Source organism: Homo sapiens, chromosome 5, assembly GCF_000001405.40.
Source record: "Homo sapiens chromosome 5, GRCh38.p14 Primary Assembly".
Taxonomy (NCBI): domain Eukaryota; kingdom Metazoa; phylum Chordata; class Mammalia; order Primates; family Hominidae; genus Homo; species Homo sapiens.
Genome location: NC_000005.10, coordinates 88,807,998 through 88,833,069, shown reverse-complemented (window position 1 = coordinate 88,833,069; position 25,072 = coordinate 88,807,998). Strand labels below are relative to the sequence as shown.

General features: G+C 34.0%; 1 protein-coding gene across 76 annotated transcripts in view, besides 3 other annotated features; it reads left to right on the top strand.

The window, feature by feature from the left end:
* MEF2C (myocyte enhancer factor 2C) overlaps positions 1-25,072 on the top strand; it is a 186,989-nt gene that overhangs the window by 71,036 nt on the left and 90,881 nt on the right. For 29 of the 76 annotated variants that reach the window (XM_011543396.4, XM_047417202.1, XM_047417191.1 and 26 more), the window contains one exon: positions 9,140-9,335. In XM_011543396.4, the coding sequence (XP_011541698.1) occupies positions 9,282-9,335 (54 nt within the window). In that variant the 5' untranslated portion in view covers positions 9,140-9,281. Of the gene's footprint in view, positions 1-5,877; positions 6,035-7,009; positions 7,352-8,725; positions 8,761-9,139; positions 9,336-25,072 lie in introns of those variants that run through there. The other 47 variants (XM_017009478.3, XM_047417190.1, XM_047417181.1 and 44 more) reach the window with 7 other exon arrangements.
* Positions 7,884-8,178: a silencer, noted in NCBI's record as "tiled region #14259; K562 Repressive non-DNase unmatched - State 6:EnhF". NCBI's record gives its function as "represses a minimal TATA promoter and a strong SV40 promoter by Sharpr-MPRA in K562 cells {active_cell/tissue: K562}" and the evidence as "EXISTENCE:reporter gene assay evidence [ECO:0000049][PMID:27701403]".
* Positions 11,479-11,578: an enhancer, noted in NCBI's record as "active region_22764". NCBI's record gives its function as "activates an Ori minimal core promoter by ATAC-STARR-seq in GM12878 lymphoblastoid cells {active_cell/tissue: GM12878}" and the evidence as "EXISTENCE:reporter gene assay evidence [ECO:0000049][PMID:35858748]".
* Positions 13,345-13,394: an enhancer, noted in NCBI's record as "active region_22763". NCBI's record gives its function as "activates an Ori minimal core promoter by ATAC-STARR-seq in GM12878 lymphoblastoid cells {active_cell/tissue: GM12878}" and the evidence as "EXISTENCE:reporter gene assay evidence [ECO:0000049][PMID:35858748]".

The following is a 25,072-nucleotide window of genomic DNA, read 5'->3' as shown; positions in this document are numbered from 1 at the left end:
AATTCCATTGTATTTTCATTTTTCTTTGCAGTTAACATCTGTTGGTTGAGTCATAAGAACAATTACATGTCCCATCAAGGCTAATGTCCTATAAGATGCATAGCATGTATTTCAATTCTCTAACAGTTTTTAATGTATGATTAGGATGAACAGATATGTTCTAATCCATCTGCTCTGAGAACTGTGACAGCCTGCATCAAGTACCAGCAGATGATCAGTGATAGCCATAATTAGCATATATATATAAATACAGTGTATTTGTTTATATTCACAAGAAAGTAGGGTAATTGATTAAAGCCTTCAGAACCTGTGTCAGACACCAGTCATAGTGGGATTAATTTAACTGTTTCTGCTTTGACATCAAAATATTCTAGGTAAACTGCTGCAGTTGTTCAAAATCTAAATCTATGGATCAAATCTTCATACAGGTATTAGACTTTAGAATCAGATGAGCCAGATGTGAATAGGAGCTACTCCTCCTCATGAGGCTGTTTTTAATCAGTCATTTCCCTGGAGTAGCACACAATCAATGAGCTCTAAATCCTGAGGCTACCTGCGCTTGTAGGAAGGCCTGGGAACATCATTACAGAACTTACAATTGGGCATATGTGAAAAAATTAGAGCAGAAATTAAGGGTAAGAAAGGTTAACTTCAGAAGTCTTACTTTGGTACTGCTTTTTTAGAGGGAGGTAAAGAGATAATTTCAAATGTTAAAAAAAAAATAGAATATTAAGCCCAACTTCTAAATGCAGAGAATTTCTATTAAAAGATCATTATAAGCAAGCCAAATAAAAGTTATTATTGATTTATGTTAGCCAGAACTGTTTAAACACGTGTATTATTTCGAGAATGTACATGTGGGTCCATTTCAGGATGAGTAAATAAATGTAAAGATTCTTTTTCGCTAGTACCTCTGCAGCTGTATAGAATGGCTTCAGAAGTCCTATGTGATACTTTGGTGTGCAGTCAATTGACACACTGTGTCTGGAGCTAATGTACATAAGGAAATTTAGTTCCACTTGATAAGACACATGCTTAACTGGCTTTAAGAAAATAAACCAAGAACAATGTGTGAATGAAACAGAGAACTTGGCACTTGACTGTATGGAAGCCCATGAGCCATGTGGTTTAATTGGGGCCAGTTGGGATCATTTAATGATTGCTGTCAGAAGATCAGATTTAATTCTCCTTATAAGAAGACCACAGTGGGATAGAGTTAAACAAATTGTCATCAGAGGTTTCAGATGAACAAAGCCTTAATTAGGTTGATTAGGATGCTGTAAAAGAGATGAAGAGAAATAGAAAAATTGATGAATCACTGAGTTCCATGTTGAGCCACATATAATAGCAATATCATATATATTTTGAGAGATAGTATTATAGCATTTTGAACATCACATATTTGAGCATGTAAAGTTTCTGTGTAAACCTTCTAAATGTGAAGGTTTAGAGATAAAAATAAATGACATTCCACTTAAATAACAGATGATTTATCTAGCATTTTCTCTTTAATGTACAACAAAAACATTGGCAGGGGGACAATGGTATTTCTTCCCATTTCAAGGTCATCTTTAAATGTTAAGTAAATTGGAAAATAAATAATGAAAGAAGCAAATTATTTTCAAGGACATAATTTTCAATCATTTAACATAATATTTGAATGCAGAGTAAAATAAAGCTTTTACTGAGAACGTCCTTTTAGGCATTCACACCACGATCTTAATAATATTGTGATTATTTACTGGTGATAATACTCAAGACAACTCAGGTGTCTTAAAATGTACTCTTATTGTTTTATTTACACATTTCGACAGACTAAAATGTGTTTTTCCATGTGCTGTGCACACATGTGCACACATGCACAAATGTATCAGTAAGACTGAAATATGTGTTCAACACTTATAGGCATATGAGAAAAATATTTTTAGAGTATTTCCATTTTAATCGTGAAATATGATATATTAAAGATGAAGAATATAACGAACATAATTTTTTTCTAACAGGGTCATGAGATGCCTGGGAATTTAGATGTTTTTATCATAATAGCATGAAAATCTATAATAGCAACATCTCCAACTTCTAGCCTAGCTTGCTTTACAGACTATTTTGTTTGACTGAGGTTGATGTTGTATAGTGCTTAACTTGCTTTGTTCAATAACAGCAACAAAAATCCAGCTGCATGTGCTTACTGAGAGGTTAGAGCTGGGGAACAGAACACAATCTGATGTTAAATTGTAGCTCTTGCTTTGTCATAAGACAGTGCAGGCTTTACCTTTGTGGTGAGCCCTACCACATCACTCAGAGGCCTTTGAAAGAAAACATGGTGGCTGCACTGTTGTGAAAAATTAGAAAAACAAAGACATGATAGAACCCTGAATTAATTACCTAATATGATGTGGAAAGACTAAAAGCTGTGGTAGGGTTGGATAGCACAAGGTTCTTCACATATTTAGACCATTTGGAGTTTATTTTGGCATGGGAATAGAGAATGCTATTTTAGCTGCAGTGTGAAAAAAGTGTCCAAGACAAAATAGACCATGGATAACTATGACAGGGAGACTGTGCTTCCCTCACAGTTATTAAATTGTTTATAATGCAATACAATTGTATAAAGGTATGTGTCTCCTAAATTCTGGAACTGTGTAAATAAAATGATGTATGTCAGGGATAATGGCAGGTTAGGCCCACTTATTAAATTAATTGCAGGGGTTAAGAAAACGAGTTCCTTTTTAGCCTTATTATATTTCTGACATACATTTCATCTCTTTTTGTCCTTGGGGAAAGATATTAAAGTAGGACTAGAAGCATTAATGTAGAGTTTTCAGCAGCCGTGGTCATGGGGAAAATTGATGTATTTCCCTAGTTATTTCCACTTTTGCAGCCTGAAGCTCTTCCGTAGCTGATATGTAAGAGAAACTTCTTAATTTTTTTAACACTGTAAATTTATTCTTCATTTGGTGATTATTGTTACAGGATAAATGAGGCATTATCTGTCAGAATTGCTAATCATTAGCTTTGGAAAGTGAGATCTTCATGGTAAATGTAAGGACTACACTATTCACTTGATAGCATTACTATATGATAGGACTTTCACTTTATGCCTTCAAACGGAAGCAATCATACGAGCAGCAGGCCATGTTCCCAGTACTACTGTGTACCCAGGATTCACATATAGTACCACATGTTATGATCATAACCATCCTACAAATGAAGATTTTTTTCCCAGTTATGGGTAGGGCAAGGAAACAACAGTTCCAAGGGATTAAATAATCAGTCTGGAGTCACACAGCGTCCAAGTACCAAGCTAGAATTCTAACCCTGTTTTTTCTGACCCCAAAATCCATTTAACTTCCAATTCTCAGTATCAATTATTCTAATTCCACATAGGAGATGCTATGTAAATATGGCGAAGTATTAAGTGAGGTTATCAATCTGCTTCTGTGTAAGCAAAAATAGTAAAATATTTTTAGTAGTAGTCAGTAAAAGTAGAAGCTGAAGAAAAGAAAATACGTCAGTTGAGAGATACACATCTTAACTGATTGTCAGTCAACGAATAGTCATTAGCTCTTTCTATATGTTTGACACTAGGGTATATATTGTGGATAAAACGGTGAAACAAACAAATAAAACAGATGTTGAGGAAGACAAGCAAACATACAGTTTCAATTGCTGCGAGTGCTGCAAAGGAGAAGGACTCAGTGCTTAGATCTTATGAGAGGGAAATTCGATGTCATCAGGAGGGCGTGGAGTACTTCCTGAGGAGGTGAAACTGAAGCTGAGACAGAAGGGAGGAGAAGTCAAGGAGGTACAAAAGGAAAGGAGGAACATCCAGGCAGAAAGAATTGCCTAGTACACAAAGGCCTAGTGGCAGGAAGGAGCATGGCAGATGTGAGGAAATGGAAAAGATGGTCAACATTATTTGTATATGTGGTACTATGTTACTGAGACTTGAAGATGGTTTGAAATTCATATTGATACTAAATTGGAATAAATTAGGAAAATAAATTGGCATATGGCATGATGGTATTTATCTAGTGGAAAAGAATAGCTGTTCTTTTATTACCCTTAGAAGAGTGAGTCTTGGGTATGTGATTTGGAAATAAACTCAGAATGCACTCATAGCTAAGGTAATGGTATATTTATAAAATACATGGTAAGCTTAGAGAGAAATGGAGCAACTTTCAAGGCCAAAGAAATCCTCCTCAACTCAAGACATCACGCAGTCGAGCATCAATAGGAGTAGTAATTTGGTTATACCTTTTGAAGTTCAGAATAGCTCCTAATGGAAAAAAAGTAAAAGTTCTGCCTGTTCCTTTTAACCAAAATATAATTGCATGCTTCATACATTTTATCAAACAAATCACAAAATAGAAACCTAAATGTAACTAGATGTAACATATTGAGCAAAGTTTTCCACTTAAAAAGATAATGAATCATTTAATTATTTGATTTAGCAATACTAGGTTTGCAGCAACTGGGCTTATGATCATTTTTGCCCCTTACGATGTATCCAGCTTGTATTTATTTAACAGTATTATTTAGTGTTGTGTGATAGAGTGTGCTCAGTTTTCAGCTTTGAGTTTTTACAAAACATTATTTGAGGATACTAGTGTTAGTGAAAATGTAAGTCAATCAAAAAGATCTGCTAATATGAATCAAAGAAAACCGGAATTTTTTTTTGAAAATTGACATCACATATTTCAATGTTTTACCATTATTCATAGGCTGTTTTTATTTAAGTGACTGCATTGTACTTATTGCAGAAAAATACATGCTTTGCAAAGATAAGTTTAGCAGAAGAGAATTAATTTCTTCCCACATCTTTTAATGTGGCATGGCAGTTTCACTCTAAGATCAAAACACATAACTGAAGGTTATGTTTAACTTCTAAATCAAAGTGTTGTGGGAAGATGATTGAAATCTGATGATGACTCAGATACGCTTGATATGTGGTTTTCTTCCTACAGAAACCTTATGTAGAATGCCATTTCCATGTTAGAAAGAACCTAATAGTGAGGAGATTAAATAGTTTCACTATAGATGCAGAGTTTGTGTTATTCACTTTGGTTCCTAGTTTGAATTTTTTTAAAGAACCTCGAGAAACTCAATAACCATAAGAATCTTTTCCCCCTCAGTATATCTTTTTTTTTTTTTTAATGTGGGAGCAAACAAATGATTAGCATATTTTACCAGCATGCATTGATTTTTTTTTTGCCGGTTTTCATAATTCTTTTTTTTAACCAAAAGTTTTAATGTATCTATTTTGGTTCTTTGCTTGCATATTTTTCATTTGCCTCAAAGGGTAAATTCCAATTATATGACTGCATTAACTGTGTACGATGACTTTTGTAAGGCCTGGTAAACAATAACTGAGATATATCTGCTATTTCAATGAAGTCAATGTGTTTGTTTTCTTATTTTCATTTCTTAAAGCAATCATAATAAAACACTAACCTAGAGCTGACATGAATTTTTCTCAGGTGTTTTAAAGATGGAAATTAAAAATCACGCTCCCGGTCTGAATTGTCCTCATTGTCCCTTATCTGAACCTCTCCAAGGCCTCTGTGTGTGGGGTGTGCAGCACAGCACACTCAGACGGTTCTGCTCAGAGAAGGAAGTGGAGAGTTTTGGTTCCCATTTTACACTTCTGGAACAGTTTAGGGAAGGAAGCACCTTTACACCTTTTATTGTTCGTGGTTGCTGACATCATATCCTTCCCTGACCAGTCTGTGTGCGTGTTTCCTGCCATTCTGTCAAAATTCTTCTGTGCTACTGGGAGAGATTTGTAGGAGGGAAGGAGGGAGGAAGAGGGCAAGAAAGAGTGAGGGAGGGAGGAGGGAAATGGAGGGGGGAGGTATGTGTCACTCAAGGGAACTTGTTTGTAAATGAGATAGCCCAGTGGGAGAATGATCTTTAGCATCTGTCCAGAAGAAATTCTTCTCGACTTGGGTCTCAAACCACTTTGCCTTCATCTGCCTGCTTATGCCAAACTCAAAATGAGCAGAAGCCTGCCATAATGAAGTTCCCCTTTTTAGTAAGCAGCCTCATTTTAGTTTTCTTTTATCTGGGTTGGCATTTTTTCTTTAGAAAAAAAAAATGCAGAAGACTGTAATTCTATAGAGTGTAACTATAGTAGAGCAGTTCTTCATCTTTTTTTTTTTAAATTAGTGATTATTTATATGTAGCTCTGTCATTTTCTAAGAATGCTTCTTTCCTGTGGAAAAAAAGTAGTGGCAAGGCTGTTGGAATTATTTTAAGCTTATGGTTGATTGTACGTAATGAAAGTTCTCAGCATAACTTGAAATTTTACTACATGTAGGCTAGCTGTTATATTCCTTTTTCATATACACACAAAACAGTTTTACAGATTACTAAAGTTAAATAATCTCTTTCTTCGCCTCTCTAGGCCTCCTACAAATTGATACTTGAAACTGACCTTTTAATATAGTTTTTGCATAAAAATTAGGTTAGAGAAAATGTTGTGCTAAGAAAACAATGCGTGAGCTATTGTTGACCTTCCTAATTCTTTAAATTTTTAGTGACAGCCTTGAAATGTGGTGACCCATAATCAAATGTTCTAAACCACGTTTCATGATAGACTTTACTTCATGACCAGTTACTTAGTGTCATCATCACCACATATTACTCTGCACGTGTACTTCATACTAAATTTTGGATTTTAGAAATGTTCTGAAGGCAATACCTCAAGAAATATTTATACAGAAAACAAAAGTTTAGTTCTATTGAAATTTAAACTTGCTTCTCTCTACATTGCTTTGCATATTTCAAAAAAGAAAATATATTCAATGGCATTTTTATCAACCACTTATATATACATAGATACATACACACATTCTCTTTGGCAAAATTTTTTTCCAGCATGTTTTAAGAAATTTTTTTTTAAGTCCTTGCTCTGCTCTTTTTAAAAATGGTCTCATTCAAAGTTGTGAAATATGGGGTGATGATATGGAGGAACTCTCCTAAGTTTGGTTCATCAGGAACTCTCTCTGTCTTTCTGAGACTTTTCTCCAAGGATGTTTTGCTGCTTGTTTGGTTATTTGTATTTTGAAATCAGGATCTGTAGATGTTCTTGTCTCTTCTGCCTTATCACCACACTCTAATCTGCTCACCCTGACCTTCCACCTTGAAGTGAATAAGCGCTTAGGCAGGCATAGTCCTGTAAGCCGATAGTGCCACCGGCCTCAGCTAAATGAAAGGAAAGGAAATTGTCCTATATGCATTTGCTGTGGATTCATGGATTGGCTTTCTGTGATAGAGAAAGCTTGTTTGTATCTTTGGGGTCTTAAACGTGCATGGGAAATACCATTCTAACACACTGCTTGCTTCTAAGGTAAGACTATAGGAAACACAGGAAAGTTGCCCCATTGAGTGACATTTAAGACGTTTTCTAAAAATAGATGGACAGTGTCTAGCAACATCAAATATATGATGCAATTATGCTTTGTGGGTTTTTCATATTTTAATGTGATTTCAATATGTTATAACTATTTTTATATGTATTTGTCAAATGTGTGTTATTTCTATAACTCTTTAGAATTTTGAACCACCTCCAACATTTAAAATTACAGCTGGAGCAATAGTTTTTGATGAGCACTGTGTGGTCATAATGTTACTCAACATACATATTATGAGAGGCAGAACTGAGCTGCAGTTTAGTAGAGAGGCGTGAGGCAAAAGAGAATGGATAGTCTTAGTATTTAAGCAGCACTTAATCCACCAGAAGTAATTATATCATAATAGCTTCTGCAATTAAATAATCACCAAAAACTAAAAAAAAAAAAAATACCCAAGGTGATAAAGAATTTGGAAATTAAATTAAAGAAATCAGAAGACAGCTAATGGTCAGACCGAATGTGTAACAGCCTTCCTGTTCCAAGAACTTTGAATTGGAGCCAAACAATCTATTAAATAGCCAGGACATTGGCTTAGCATTACATAATACATGTGGGAATTTATCAGGTCCGTTGTCAGACACCAGCTAAAATAAACAGGGAAATTCTGAGCAGTGTGTAAAGTTGTTGCATTCATTGACCTAAAACGAAGTAGAATAATTGGAGCTGTTGCTTGAAAAACCCATTGTGGAATGCTTTCTTGTTAACTTTCACATTTCAGAGCAATTAACTTCCGTTGTGTTCAAATATTTTCAGATGTAATTTAAAACCAAGTAAAGTATGTACTTTTAATATTCTGGGTTTCTTGGGCTTATCTCATGTTATTGATGATCATTTCTCTAATTTTAATTCCTGACCCAGAGATCTCCAGTATGTAATGTGAAGCTTCTGCAATTTTGTATCTTACTCCACAAAGACATGATATGTCTGTTTCTAAATATTTAAATTTAAAGGAAGGATGGCTTGTTATAAAAAATATGGTTATAAATTGAAGAATAATCTTAATTTTGCACCATTTATTTTGTGTCAATGCTTATCTTTTTTGATTCTTGTTATCTAAGATGTAGTTTAAGGGCTTTCAAAAAGAAAAGATCTCACTGCTGATAGATGCTTGTAATCTAAGATTAAATATTCCATATTATTTTTAAGGTGTTCTCACAGCAATAATTTTTTTAAAGTAAGATTAAAGGATTTAGATTTAAATTAGTTGACATTTACATATATCAAATAGCACTTTCATAATCGTCCATCCTATTTGCATAACGAGGGACGTTATCACCTCTGCTGTCAAAACAGGAGATTGTTTTCCCTTCAGAAATGAATTAGCTGCCCTACTTAGCATACACAGGTACATAAAGGTTCATTAACTCTCTGATTTAGGTAATTTTTCATAACGGGTGAAATTGTCACCTAATTTCATTAAAAAGATTAGGAAACTTTTTACAAAAAAAAATACATTTCAAGTGTTAGTCTTTAAAAAAGCATAGTTTGCATCATTTAAATGACTTGTTAAATTACTTATGAGATCATTTTAATTGTTAAAAAATAAAACTACTTGATCTGCTCCTGTCTGTGATATACCATATATTTTTAACAAAAAAGTTATTTTTATTCATTTTATTGCTTTAGCTCCATATAGTTTATTTCCTTGATAAAATTAGAATATGATAGTTCTTATGAAACTGACTTGCTGTTAGAGTGGTATTTAATTTTTCTTTTTTGTTCAGCAGGAACGAATGCAGGAATTTGGGAACTGAGCTGTGCAAGTGCTGAAGAAGGAGATTTGTTTGGAGGAAACAGGAAAGAGAAAGAAAAGGAAGGAAAAAATACATAATTTCAGGGACGAGAGAGAGAAGAAAAACGGGGACTATGGGGAGAAAAAAGATTCAGATTACGAGGATTATGGATGAACGTAACAGACAGGTGAGTGGAGTAAACTTTTTTTGTATCATTATTTATTAATTATATTTTCTCCACATATGTTAAGGGTACAGAAAATATCTTGAATCTGTAAATATCTATTAAGAGAAGTTTGGGTTAATTAAATGTGACCAGTTAAAGTGCTGATAGTCTCTTATATATAAAGGAGAAAAAAATCACTTTATCTGTCAGAAACATAGTTTACACATTTGTCATTATTCACTTTTTACTTCAACACAAATTTGAAATGGGAAGTGTAGTTGTGTGACATGAATAGCTTGATAATTAAGAGTTAATCAGCATAACATTGCTACATTGCACGCATCATCAAACAAAGATATTCTTATATTCATGGGAACTAGACCTTTTGTGGTCATTCACTTAAAGGTTTATAATATAGGATAAATATCCTGTATGAAAATGGCTTTCATTTTATTCATAGTAAATGAGATTTTGAAACACATCCAAACATTTTAACATTGTGCTGACAACAACAACAAAGAAAACACCCACACAAGATATTAATAACTTAAAACATATAGGCAAGGACTATCGGTTAATTCATACCATTTTAAATCTGAATTTGATAAACATAGAGGCAGATGGTGTTATAATTTTTTTCTAGAATGCCAATGATAATGTCTGTGTGATACAATTAATCTGTTGTGAAGACTTTACACATTCAAATGCTCAGTTTGGCATTAAAGACTTGTATATCATGAATGCCTGCAATTTGACTCTATTTTTCTTCACACTAGGGGAGAGTGGATTTAGTTAGGCTATGTAAGGACAGCTGGGTAGTTTGTATAACGTTAAATATCAAATAATGGTCCTGGGAGAAATTATAGTACTGCTGGGTCCCAACCATCTCATATGGATCATGGAACCTGCAGAGAAGACGTTTCTGGACTGTGGAAGAGAAGAGTGTTTTGCCTACTTTTCGGTTACACTGAAGAAGGCTACACAGTAGCCCTGGGGACAACCACCAGACTGTAATTTCCCCACAAATGTAGACACTCATGTCCTCTATTGTCCTGTTTTGTCTTCTTGGACATACAAATAGGACTAGAACTGATTGATTCATTTTTTTAAATGTAATGTTGTTTCATGTGTAAACTATAATGAATAGGAATTAATTATTTCTTGCATCAAAGTCAGTACGCCATTAAAAAGTAGAGAAACTTTTAGGTTTTCAAGTTTATACTCCTCTAAATTATTATATATTTTCAGGTACACACAACTTGAACTATTTTTGGCTGCATGTTTAGCTAGAGGGTGAATAATACTAAGATTTATGGTGGATTCCTTTAGTGTTTTCATGCACATCGTTTCTTGCTGTGGATCAAGCCAAAGAGCAATCATTGTGTCAATAGAAAACCGCTATTTTTTAATTGGCCTATAGCTTGAAATTGAAATTAAGACTGAAATATTGAATGTCATGTAACACTGTTTGGACCTTGTTATTTGGACCAGAACCTATTTTGAGTATAGTCAAAAACATATGAATTAGCATTTGCACTTTATTACCAATACCAGATAATTTTTAGGTTTATGATATTCATTATATCTTCTTTTGCTTGCAAAGTTAGAAGAAAATTTTTGCAGGTTGAATTCATGAGCTTTTATTATGCTTTATTAGAAAAAACAGGGATACAAGATTTTTTAATTTCTATTTTTAATTATGGGTACATAATAGTTGTATATAATATGGAATACATGTGATGTTTTGATACAGGTATACAATGTGCAGTGATCAAAATCAGGGTAATTGAGGTATACCTACCTCAAGCATTTATCATTTCTTTGTATTAGGAACATTCCAATTCTACTCTTTTAATTACTTTCAAATATATGATAAATTCTTGTTAACTGTAGTCACCCTATGTACTACCAAATTCTAGATCTTATTCATTTTACCTATTTTTGTATCCATTAAACATCCCCACTTTATCCCCTCCCCACTCCATGCCCAGCTACCCTTCCCAGCCTATAGTAACCATCAGTCTACTCTCTATCTCAGTGAGTTCAATTTTTAAAAAAAAAAAGTTTAGCTCCCACACGAGTGAGAACATGCAAAATGTGTCCTTCTGTGCCTGGCTTATTTCACTTAACATAATGTCCTCCAGTTAGTTTCACTCATGTTGTAACAAATGACAGGATTTCTAGGGATACAATAATTTTAAAGCCGGGAGTGGTAGTTCATGCTTGTAATCCCAACACTTTGAGATGCAGATCACTGGAGCCCAGGAGTTCAAGACCAGCCTGGGCAACATAAGGAGATGCAATCTCTTATTTTAAAAAGTTAAAAAAAAATTAACTGGGTGTGGTAGTGGCATGCACCTGTGTTCCCAACCACTTGGGGACCACTAGGACCCGAGATGTCAAAACTGCAGTGAGCCGTGATCATGTTACTACTACACTTCAACCTGGGCAACAGAGTGAGACCCTGTCTCAAAAAAACAAAAAACAAACAAACAAAGAATCTTAATGTCGCACTTTTGAGCTAATAATTGAATATCTTTTCTTTTTTTATATATAGTTGCAGCTACAGTGGCTGTTACCCTCATCCAGGTTAGAAGTCATAATAACTTTAGAAGAAGAAAACTTATTTAAATTCAGCTTAGTTTGACTTATCATTTTTTTAAATTCTGAAGACAGATTTCTTGATTTTATTCTTTAGAATTTAGGGTATATTTATTCTTTTCTCCAGTCTTTAGATACAGTAGGCCTGTAAGTTCAATACTTTTAAACAGAATTAGTAAACTTGAAATCCACCATGTTTTAATATATATTTCAGTGATTATTTTAGAGGCTGTTGACAATTTCAAACATCTTACATATAAATGCTTGTCTTGTGCACCTCTCACCTACTATGAGAGCAGTTGTAAGAGTCATTTGGGAAAGAGCCTAAATTATGTAGGTCACTTCTAATAAACAAAACCAGCAAATCCGAAACAGCATATCATACTGTGTAGAGGCACCCGTAACCTGGGCTTTCTTTCAACTGTGTATTCACATGTTGCAAAGAAAAATGCTTTGCCCTCTTTGAAGCTGCCCCACTGTAGACTGTCCAGTAGAACCTCATGCAATGGCTCACTGTCATCTTTTCTTAAAAGTTGTCAAAGACTGCTCTGCCATTGCACTTGTTTATTTAGCTATACACAGAATAAGTTATGTTTTTTCCAGAAAAAGAAATACTGACTTCAAGTGTGAAATGAAATATTACAGCACTGATGTTATAAGTTGTATATCATTAAGAAATAAAACTGTTGTGAAATAGAATGGCTGTTTAAATTGAATTTTACCTTTACTTTAGCTGTCTTTCATAATGGAAGTAGGGAACAGCTCAAATTCAGAAACATCAATACATGAAATAGTTTAGGTGAGAATAAAAATTGACAGCTCAAATTCAGAAACATCAATACGTAAAATAGTTTAGGTGAGAATAAAAATTGACAGCTTTTTTATTTAAAAAAATTTTTTGGCATTTCCAAGTTTACAAAAACTATTTCTTTCTTAGTTTCAAGCTTAGACAACATGGATTTCTTAAGCAAGTATGTAAAAATAACATTATGAATTGTTAATTTATCTTACAGAAATTTTCAGACAACCTAATAAAAGTAGTTACCAATTATGTGCCAAGAACTATATATATATATATAATTACAAATAATTTTTATTAATAAGTCCCATTTTATGGCTGAATAATTCATTTATCTGTGAAATCAACAAATATTACTAGACTGCAGTGTACCTAACACCAAGTATTCAGTGGTGAACAAGAATCTCATCCAGCTTATCCTCTGCTTTAGGGGTTCAGCGAGCTTTCCTGTAAAGGACCACATAGCAAATATTTTTAGCCTTGTGAGCCATATAGTTTTTGTCTCAACTACTCAGCTCTGCCCTAGTAGTCTGAAAGCCGTATGCAGTATGTAAATGAACCTGTGTGGCTGTGCTCCAATAAAGCTTTACTGACAAAAACAGGGCGTTTGGATTTCACTTGTAGGCTACAGTTTATGGACCCCTGATTGAGTTAAACAGACATGAAATATAAAAATATATAACAAAAATTTCACTTATATGTGCTATGAAAGAATAATAGGAGGTACTTTATTTACATCAGGGTTGGAGAAAGGCCTGAGGAAGTGCTAAAAGATGAGCTAAAAGATGATTCAGAGTTAGGCAGGTGACAGCATTCCAGAAGCAGTATTTGCAAAGTTCCTTAAGAGAGGAAAGAGCTTGACTGAGGAGCTGAAGGAAGATCAGTGGGACTTAAGCCTGGTGTATGACTGTAGAGAAATGAGAGAAAAGATTGGATGTTAGACAGGACCCAGATATCGCAAAGCTTTGAAGGTCCTGTTAAGTTCTAAATAACTGGCTCAAGATTGTACAGTTAAAACTGGGAAGTGACCAAGATCTGAGCCCGGATCTCTCATATTCAACACGAAACAAATTATGCTTTTTAAAATTATGTCATGATGCATCTAGTGTAATATAATAACTAAGAGCATGGTTTTGTGTCATTACTTTTCCCAATTATACTGCATCCAGTATAATCAAATGGCTAAGAGGCATAGTTTTTAGAGACACACAAACTTCGTTCTTGTCCCAGTTCTGCCACTTACTAGCTATGTGACCCTCTAGCAAGTTACTTAGACCCTCTGAGCTTCAGCAGTACCCTCATCACTAGAGTGAGGATGAAAAAAAGTTAGTACCTTTCTCATTAGGTCTTTAAGACAATTAAATGAAGCAATAAATGTAAAGCACCCACCAAATAATAAGTGCTCAATAAATTTACCTATTAGCTATTCCTATTAAGACTCAGGCTCTTTGAACCATTAGCTATTATAGTTAATGTGATTTCTATCAAAACAACTCTTGTACTGTGTAGCACAATAAAGAATGTTACCTAAACCTTCATTTCATGAGGGTTTTATTTTAAAAGGGTATTGAGGAGATGGATGGAAAAGTGGAACAGGTAGAGCAGGAGCACAAAGGAGCCTTCAGAAGCCAACAAGGGGCTAGAGAATGATACCAGAGCAGGAGTGAGCTGATGCAGAGAGGATAGTTTGTGGACAAGAAGGAAAGATCACACAGGACGTTTGCAGAGGATTTATGACAAGGATGGGGAGAAGTCGTTTCCTAAATGTTATGCTTGTGGGACCTGTTTTCAAATATATGTTACTGACCAAATTATTTTTAACTACTCCTCACCATTTTTATCACTACCAGCTTCTAGCTTATGCTAACACTACAGTTTCAGTCTCTCCGTCGGCATTTTTTTTTTACCCTTGAAATACCTCCATCAGTTAGGCAGTCTTACCCTCTTTCACATGGTACCAATTTTTAATCATGCTCCTGAAACAGATTTTTTTCTGTGACACTTTTATTGTATTTTACAGTAACATATATATGCAAAGGTTTAAAAAGTTCAACAACAAACTGGTTTTTATGAACAGATGGTTTTGGGGGTGCTTGTTTCATTTCTTTTGTGTTTAAAATTTTTTAAATTAACAAATAATTGTACGTATTCATAGGGTGCACAGTGATGTTTTAATATGTATAATGTATAGTGATCAAATCAGGGTAGTTAGCATATCCATCATCTCAAACATTTATCATTTCTTTGTCTTGGAAACCTCCAATATCCTCCTTCTAGCTATTTCAAACTGTAAGATATATTAACTGTAGTCATCCTTTGGTGGGATAGAACACTTGAATGCATTTGTCTTATTTAGCTGTAATTTTGGGTCCTTTAACAGTTTTTAAATGAATATTGTCCTTATATGACTCTTTCTACAAACAATATATTTAGAAATCTGTTATATTAGGAAGAAAGATATATAAAAATTAGGCATGCTTAGCCTAAACCTATTTACTTGTATGTTTGTATTTGAAAATTTCAGCTTTCCTACTTTGAAAGGATAGGAGAGGTAAGCCCAAATTTATTTGTGCAACTTGTTATAAAAAGACATTTAAATATTTGTCAGATAACACAGTTAGGGCTTAAAATAGTAAGTTAAGAAAGAAATATATTTAAATGCCTTAAGTTTTCTTTTCTTTCATCAGATCTGGCACACTAATAGTTTTTGCCAGCAAACAAAACTTCATGTAATTATCAGTGCAATAACTGGAGCACAAACTAAAGACAATTTGCAACATTCTGTTAATAGAACAGGAGAATCCCCTTATGACTAAAAGAATTCAGAGTTCATAGCTGTTACATTTTCTAACTTTCCCTCTTCTTATGTCCCCATCTCAGTCTCTTCATATGAATTATAAATTATATAAGATGAACTAGGAAAAAAGCTGGAAAAATGTGTTCAGTGTAGATGCAGCTTCTGACAGTTTCTACATACTGATGTGTTTTCAAACTAAATCTGGTCTATTCGACACTAAACTGAAAAATAAAAAGAGATGTATAGATTCCCTCAAGTGACTCTTTAAAAAGAAAAAATTTTACTCCTTACTTTTTCCTGGTTTTCATCAAGTTAATTACAGTTCTAAATTTGGGAGTTACATCTTAATAACCTAATAGAAAATTTGTTGAAAGAGAGATACATTCACTCTTTAAATGTGAGTAACTGGATAATTGAGAAATACAAATTAATTGCTTCAAAAAAATAATTTTTCGGTGAATTCCAAACCATAAGTTGGAGAATAGATGGAAGATGCAGTCTCCACTGCTAAATGCACTTTTTTTGGCCACCTCCACAAACAGAATTTCCAGACTTGTGAGTTTTTCTTTAAATACTGTAGAAGAATTATACTTGTTAATCAAGAAGTATCTGGAATCTCTTTCAGACCTAGTGAAAAAAAGCTCAATCAGTGAAAAATTATTGATTTTCCTATCTTTTAATCCAAAATAAGCCTGCAAATACCTCATAATAATGATGATGATGATTGTTTTTTCTTAGTATCATTTCTTAACAGATGCCTGCCTCCCCAACACTTGTATTAAAAATTATACTAAACTTATTTCATATAAATAAAATAAGGGTGTGTCATAGTAATATTTTAGGACATCATACCCATCAGAATTGAATTATAGGGTCTATTGCCACATATTGGGGATGCCTTCTTAAAAGCTCCTCATGCATATAAGTTAAATCATTCTTTTATTAATCTTAAAATTACCAAGGGAAAAGTTTTTATTCAAAGATTTGGAATTGCTGGTGATTGAAGAGTTGAAAAAGAAAACCAGAAGGGAAAATGACCTAAATAATACTTGTAAGAGTTTCCAAATTAAAAAAAAAAAAAAAAAAAAAAAAAGCAGTAGGCAGAATGCTCAGATGTATGTTTAACAGCTGTGGCCTCAGGCCATTCATTTCCATTTTATCCCTTAGCAATTTGAAAAGAATTCACAAATAATCTCCCCACCATGTAGTAGGATCACAGCAACAGTGTGCCACACATATTACTATTTATCCTGTTCGGTGCATGATATTTTATATTTATGTCAGCTAGATCTACTCCTTTACTGCCAGAAAGATATTGCTCCAACTCCCGTCAATCTCATTCATTCACTTTCCTTTGGTAGGAAATCTGAGAGAGGCCAACATTTTCATAAGGAAAAGAATAATTGTCACTTCTAGAATTCTGTCACTCTTCTTTGAACTTGAGGGCCTCAAGGGTTTTTATTGTTTCCAGTTCTAATTTGTATATCTCATATAATTTCTACTTAAAACTGTAATTTAAAAAGAATCTGATGCTTTTATTTATTGTATCTCATTTTGTGAAGAAAGTTGATACTGAATGGCCCCTTTCACCTCTGGGAATGCATGCACACACCACTCTGTCTGCTACAAGTCACCTTTAGCTTTGCAAATGCACAAACTGTGTGACATTGTATTACTGAGAAACCAACACTAAAAATATTAACATTATAAATAGACTACATACACCGAGAAGTTTCTTCCAAACTGTAGATTAAAAGACATGATGCTAATTGTTTCAAAAGCCATGTCCTCTGCAGTCTGCACTTCTTTAACATTTAGTTCAAAATGAAACTACTTCAAAAATTATTAGGGTATTTTTAAAGTTTGCATCCCAATGTATTCTTGTTGAAGGTAGTTTGGAAACTTATTTTTTCTGAGGATAATGGCTTTGGCAAAAATTTTAAAAAATTAAGTAAATGACATCATTAAGGAAAAAAATTAAAAATTGATAATATGTAATGTGTATTTGTGTTTCTTTTGAAATATGTTGGACCATTAATAAGAATTAGAGAACCAGTCTAAATGTTTGGAAATTTGACTTTTAATTTTAAATTGGAACAGTTTAACTAAAGAAATCACTAACATTTAAATAACATTTCAACAAATGTAACTGTTTGGAAACTATAAGGGAGACAGCCTTCTGTCTTGCAAGGATTGATTTGGAAGGCCCTGGGGGAGAAAATATTGGAGTTAGGAGGTAAAACCTAGGCTATTGTGGAAAGGAAGAAGTTACACTCTTCCTGTTATGACAGGAAAATGTAGACAAATGTGCTTCCTGAGCATTTGCTCAGCAGGGAATGAAGTATCCTTTGACCTTTCCCTTAGGTACATTTGGCTTTGTTGAACTAGTAAACATGTTTTTGCCCCCAAAATATTAATCTGGTTTATTTGATTCTTCTCAGATTCAAATTATATCTCTTATGTAGATGAGATACAGAGAAACAAAGGTATTTATTTTATGACTGCATCTACAGATTGGATTTAGAATGAAAATTAGCCCTTTAACAAACCAGGCAGACTTGAGCAGCCCATATAAAAAATGTGAAGCCTGCTGTGTTAGTCTTCTCTTTTCAAAAGGCAAAACATTCCTAGGCCTTAAAATGGGCCACAGTAAAATCTCTTATATCCTGATCAAGTTAACAATTTTCGGTCATCCTTCTTCCTTTTCCTCATGCAGACAAATGCATCAGAATTCAGCTGTCACAAATTTTAAAACTCAAACTTTTATGAGTTTGTTAATAAACACTCGTTTCATTAATGTGCATTCGATTATTTAATTTAGATCTAACTGTGATTTATTATTTTCCCTCCAATGCATAAGATTTGGAGTTTTATTTTGGGATTTGGGATGTTGACTTAGGGTGAGGGGTTGGTAGAGTTCTAAATTCCACACTCTAAGCCCCTTATTTTAATCCTTTTATCATGTTCAGAATTTTAGGAACTACTGCTTGAAAATCCTTTGGAAATACTACTGTATTTCAGCGAAACGGAGGCTCAATTTGCTTGAGGCTAACGAGGACAATAGTCCCCTTTGCGGCAGAACACACTGCTGTCTCATCCTCGCAAGTTATGCTGGAGGGTTACAAGCACGTGGTAGCAGTCTGCTTAAAAGAGTCCCTCGCTGCTCTTTAAAGAGCCTTTCATTTACGATGGCAGGCCCCGTCATTGTATAAAGGAACGCTTGTCTAGAACACAAGTCTGCAGAGGCACTGCTTCCTCCCACCGAGAGTAATCATCGGGCCTAAAGCTCGCGAGCCTTTCTAATGACAGACTGAATTAAACAAAATAAAACTGAAGAAGAATACTTTAGAACATTTGTGCCATTACTTACTGTCAGGAACAAGGGAGGTGGAGAAAGAGCATTTAGGAGGGCATTTCCCTTTTTCCCAATTAAAGATTGTCGTTGCAGACTCTTGACTCCAGCCCTAACCCTTTAAACACATAGGAAGACCTGTGGCTCCTGGATTACAGAGTGTATTGTATCTGTGAACTGTCCATCTGTCACTCATTAGTCATTCTGTTTCCTCAACTGGGAGGAAACTGAGAGATTATCTAGGTGGGGGGATGAGGTGGAGTAGCCGACCTGAAATATTTTCACATAATGAGGGTTATATTTATCATGACTCTTATTTGGAGGGAAAAAAAATGATCAAACCTCAAACCTTTGAAAATAGAATTAGCTGGGTATACGAATCCCAAACACATCCTAAAACAAAGAAACTACTATTTATGAGTTAAAGAATGGTGAAAATAAAAAAATAAAAAATTATCCATTCATTGAGCACTGTAAGGTTCAATTAAGATTAGGCTAAAAATATTGTGTTTGGTGGAAAGAAGTATTTGGGACCCATAGATCAGATTTTTGTTGCTTCCCTTAGTGATATGTCTGAGGCAATTTGCAGTTGGGCCTCAATTATTATTATAGATGTGAGTAGCTGCTGTTTCTAAAGGTCCTTTTCTTTCAGAACTCTTTCCTGCAAGGTGCAAGAACAGTTACCACAGTTAAAATGGCAGGAAAGTTCTTCTGAGGTGACTTTATGAATGGGGCTGGGCCTGGGAGGGTGAGGGAGGGGGCAGGCGTGTGGAGTGGAGAAAGATTATGAAATGCCCTTTCCATTTCACAGTAGTCAAACTAATTTCCCTACCCTGTAGGAAATGATACAGGACTCCTTCTCTGTTTTTAGAACTTGTTATTTACATTGCCTGTGTAAATCAGAGGGCCACCTTTTTTTATTCTAGCTGTAAGCAGACCTGTATTTACTACCAACCAAAATTCTTCCCATTTTCTGAAATTAAAATAAACATCCATAAATATAGAACTAGTTTGTGCCCACTAGTGCATGCATGTGGTTCTCAGTGGCTGTAGTGGGAATGGCCGGAGCGTCTGAGGGCAGAGTTGGCTGCAGAGTCTATACAAAAGTAGCTTTGATTTACTGTCAGAACCTAGAAACCAACTGGCTCTCAATTTAGTGTTCTTAGTATTATTTTTTGACTTTAACCTAGAAAGCAGTCCTTACGTTAATTAAAATGTTATGCATTACTGTGCTTGCACTTATCAGAATTTCTGATGGTTCTTAATGTAACATTACAAATGACAGTGCCTGCATACTGCTCAATAAACAGTTGACTGGGTCCATATTGAGCTGAACTTCAGCCCCTAAAATCCATAGTTATCTAAAAGAGGGAAGGAACACTAACTAACAGAAAGAAAGATGCACTTTGTGTGAAGAGGGTTGGTTTTCTAGTCCATCCAGGAACAAGTCTGGGGACCTTGGATAAGGCTATTCATGTCTTTGTTTACGGTATTCATCTGAAAAATAGGGATGATAAACTGTGCTAAAGAATAAGTTCAAAGAGATACTGTCGAATGTAGGGAGATAATTAATTATAAAATCGTTGAACTTCTTAGAAAAAATTATCAAATAAGCAACACTGTTATCTAAAAAATAATATAAGAAATCTGATATGCTTCACTTGCACCAACCAACCCACACACAAAATTTGACCAAGTCCAGTTTTTTCTCCTGATTAATTTTACCAAATGTAAGTTTCTACTGTAAGTTAAAATGACAAAAAAATAAAATAAAACAAGTATGTGAAATTTCCCTCTCTCAGTAGCAAACTTCTTGTTAACATAGTCTGAGCATCCATAGAAATTTATTTTCAGCTATTCATTTTGGATTACAAAAAACACTATAATTCCTCTGTCCATATATCTATTCATTCTATCAACATTTATTTATTTAGCCAAGTATTATTATTGGTTGTCAGGTTACAAGAATGAGCAAAAGATGGCCCAGGTACTCGAGAAAAACTAGGATATAGCTGAGAGAGACACTCTAATCTAGACCTAAGTAAATAATGGTAACACAAGCTGACAGGTCCTAGGAGACCAGTCTTTTACAGTATGTTTCAAGGAGCGACTAAGCCTGGTGCATCAGAGAAGATACTACTTGCTTTGTAAAGTGTTTCACAGTTAACAAGTTATTTACACTGGTATTATATCCCTTACTTGACCTCTCACAAAACTCTATATGATGCCTGTTATTATCTCCACTTTCCAGGTGAGGAAACTGGGGTTCCGGTAAGTTAAGCAATTTTACGCAAGGGCACACAGCTCATAAAAGGCAGAGCTGGGACTTGGTTTTCAATTTTTATGTTTTTCTTTCTACATTGTACTGCCCCAGTCATGATGCATGTATCCTGTTTCTTTAAAATGTCTTTAATAATGTGAATTTGCTGTTTTATCAATCTGGATAATTATTTTTCTGTGCATTTTCAGTACATCATTTAATGTTGTCTACTCAAATTCTTTACAGTCTTTTGTGTCTCGTCTAGCTACAAAAAAAGTTATTTTATTTCTTGAAATATGGAAATTAGAGGCGATAATGTATGGGTGGGATTGAGTAACTAAAACATAGGAGATTCTGTAGGGTGCATGCTTGGTGAACCATATTGCCATTTGCTCTTAACTCAAAGCCCTATGATACTTAGGCATAGATTAAGAACATCTAAAAATTAGAATAAATATTTTAAAGGTCTCTAGTCCAACTTCCTGCTTAATTCAGGAGCCCCTTCTACACCTTCCTTGATATGCAGCTCTATGTGAACATATTCAGAAATGAGCTGCTTCCTGCTTGGTGGGAAGTTCTCATCACTAGATTTTCCCTTGTTTTGAATCTCTTTCTAATTTTCAACAATGCTTACTAATTTTGCCTCTTCGCATGGACATATGCTTCAGACCTTAGAAAATGTTTAGCATTTCACTTTTAATTCTATTTTTTTCTGAGTTATACATTCCAGATTCTTTCAATGGTTCCTCATGCCAGATTGTTCTCAGACCCTACATCAGTCTGTTTACCATCCTGTAGATGCTCTAATTTTGTCAGTGCTTTCTTAAAATGTCACCCTCAGAACTGAATATGCTACCAAAGATGGTTCTGACAAACAAAAAGATCAGTAGGATAATTAATTACCACTATAGAACGCTAAAACTTTAGATCCTTTCCCAAAATTCCTTAATTATCCCCAACCTGAACTTTTGTAATTGTTTTTTAAAAATATGAATGTGGACTTTAAAATTACCTTCATTTGATTCATCTTGATTGTGACCCAGCTTTCTAAAGGCTGTAGAAGGCGCTATGGATATAGACTCTTATCACCTACTGGGTTTGCTCAAGCACCCAGATTTACGTTGCATGCAGATCTGATAAGCCTGCCTTCCTATATACCCATCTAAACCAATGACAAAAATGTCTCCTGGGATGGGAAAAGTACTGAATTCTATGGCACTTTACTAGAGACTTTTTGATAAACTTAACATTGATCAATTAAGTCGGCCTCATTAATTATAGTTCATCAGCCATATTTAAATCAGCTAAATTACTACCATCCAGTCTCAAATTGTGCATGAGGATTTCATCACTTTTCCAAATGCTTATTCTTTGAAAATCTGAACTCATCAGAAAGTTCAGTACATTTTTGCTGAACAAACTCAGTCATCCTGAACCCATGGATCCTCCCCATTCTTTCTGTATCCTGTGATTGTAAAATTAAATTTTTATCTTCAGACTTTTTTATCTTTCATCTTTTTTATCCAGGCAAGGGATAAAAAAGAAAAAAACTTTTCTCTGAATTTTTTGAAGTATATTTTTCTTGAAGTCTACAGCATATTTACATATATATTTTTCTCCAGACATCATTTACCTTCTTTATTATAAATTCCAAGATAGTGTAATTACTTTATCTTAAGATTTGTGTCACTAATAAGCTAAACATTGTAGTAAAATAAAGGTATATGTGTCCAAAATCTCTATTTTTGAGAGATTAAATTATTTAAAAGGCAAGTAAAAAAGCATCTACTCTAACATAAAATTATACCGAAACATTCAGACTTCAAAATGGAGTATTTCCATTCCATAATCCATTCGTTCAGCAAAGGTTCATTGAGTGGCCACTGGTCAGAGTCTGTGAGAGGCCTGAGGGATGGTCTTTGGGGAATTCAAATCTGGCAGAAGGGAAAACTCATATACAACCAACTTTGTAATACTGGAGTAAGTCTCATAATAAAGATTTGTAAAAAGTGCTGGAGGACTACAATGAGAAAGGAATGAGTTTTATCTGAATGTGACAAGGAAAGCATCAAAGAAAGAAGTTGGCATTTAAACTAACCCTTACAGCGTGATGGGTGCATCCAGTGGCCAGGTGGAAAAGGAGAGATGGGAGTAATACCACAATCAGCTTTCACCAAGTCAAGATTAGAAATAACCAGTAAGGTAGATTTCATTTCGTACTCATCTTGACTGAATTTACATCTACTATTATTTTTCTAGCTCAGTCCAGAGAAAAAGTTAGTCTGAAAAAAAAACTGAATTCACCCAACTCTAAATAAAAATACGAATTCAGATTATTAGATATGACTGAAAATATAACTCTGTTGGCCAAGTCATGCATTTTGTTCCAAATAAAGAAAATTCCTTTTAAACGTTATGGAATTAAATGACTTTTTTTTGTCCAGCCACAAGGAACTGATATGAACAAGGGAGATATTATTTTATGTAATGGAAGCCACAGTACCTAGCACAAATGCCTGACATAGAGAATATTCAATAAATATTGCTTAGCATAATGTTTGACATGCGGAAAATGCTCCATAAAACTTGGCCAAATTATTTTTATATTTTTTGTGAATAGACTTTCTTAAATTTTTAGTAACTGATTTGTATGGTGCTATATTTAATGAATGTTTCTTTTCTCAATTTCAACTTCTAATTTCTGTTTTTCCTTCGCACCTAATAGGTTCTAGAGCCATTATCAACATAAGATGTATGGTATCTGTCCTTACTCTAGGATTTAAAAGTCAGGGCCACTATAAAACTTAACATACCATCATCACATTTGGGGCTATTTAAAGATTCAAAAATATAAAGGAAAAACATAAAATAAAAAACATACAGAGTAGTTCTGCTTTCTATGCTATATCACACATTAAGTCTCTTTAATTTGATAACATGTTGACTTATGTAAATACTGGAAAAGAGAGACTCTTTGCCTAACTACTGTAAAAACCTCTTTCTGCCTCACCTAAGGTTCCAAACATGTTATTTAAAAAGAAATATGGACTTGTCCCCATTACAAACTATTATCAAGTTAAGAAAAATGTAACCATCACAAGGCATTATTTAAGTATAAAAGCGCAGAATTGAAATCTTTGTTATTGAGTGGCATATTTTAAATGAAGAGTTATATTCCAGATCTCTTTAGAAAGCCTAATGCTTAAAAATAATTTTATCTAACTATGAACAATGAGAAAAAGCATTATAAAATACATTTTGAGAATGCTATGAAGAATATGAACATAATGCAGAATTAAATTTAGAGCAATTAAGAGTAGATTTTGAAGATATTTTCTTACGTGCTTTAATACAGTCATCATTTCAGTTTGCAGTTTTAAATTGCAGAAGAAGCTATATGCACTGACTTCTTTGATGGGTATTATTAAATAAGTATTCATTATCCAGCAGCCTATTTGGTTACACAAAAATTGAGGAGCACTAAAAGTAAACACAAATAGTGACATTAATGATATTTCTGTACTGAAATGTACTTTGATTATGAGTGTTGTAACGTGCAAAATTCTGAGGTCTGAGTACAACAGAAACCATACTGTATTGAGACATTCCACATATAGCTTGTGGTCATGAAGTCTGATTAAAAGTGGTTTTAGATATATGAAAGTAGTCTAGGTCAGTGCCTTCTGTATTGAACGTATTCTGTAGCCTATTTCACTAAGTAAAATGCCAATATGCAGGTACATTTTCATATCAAAATTGGATCTAAAAGAAATATTAAAAGACATTTAGTGCAGCTCTGTGTAATTAATGATTATGTTTCTTTATTCATTCCAAAAAGATGGTTTTCAGCCCATCCTTAATATCAATTATGACTCATCTGCATAAAACAGAATAAAAGTTTCTAAAGTAGTATGATAATCAGATATGAAAATAAAACACTAGCTATATT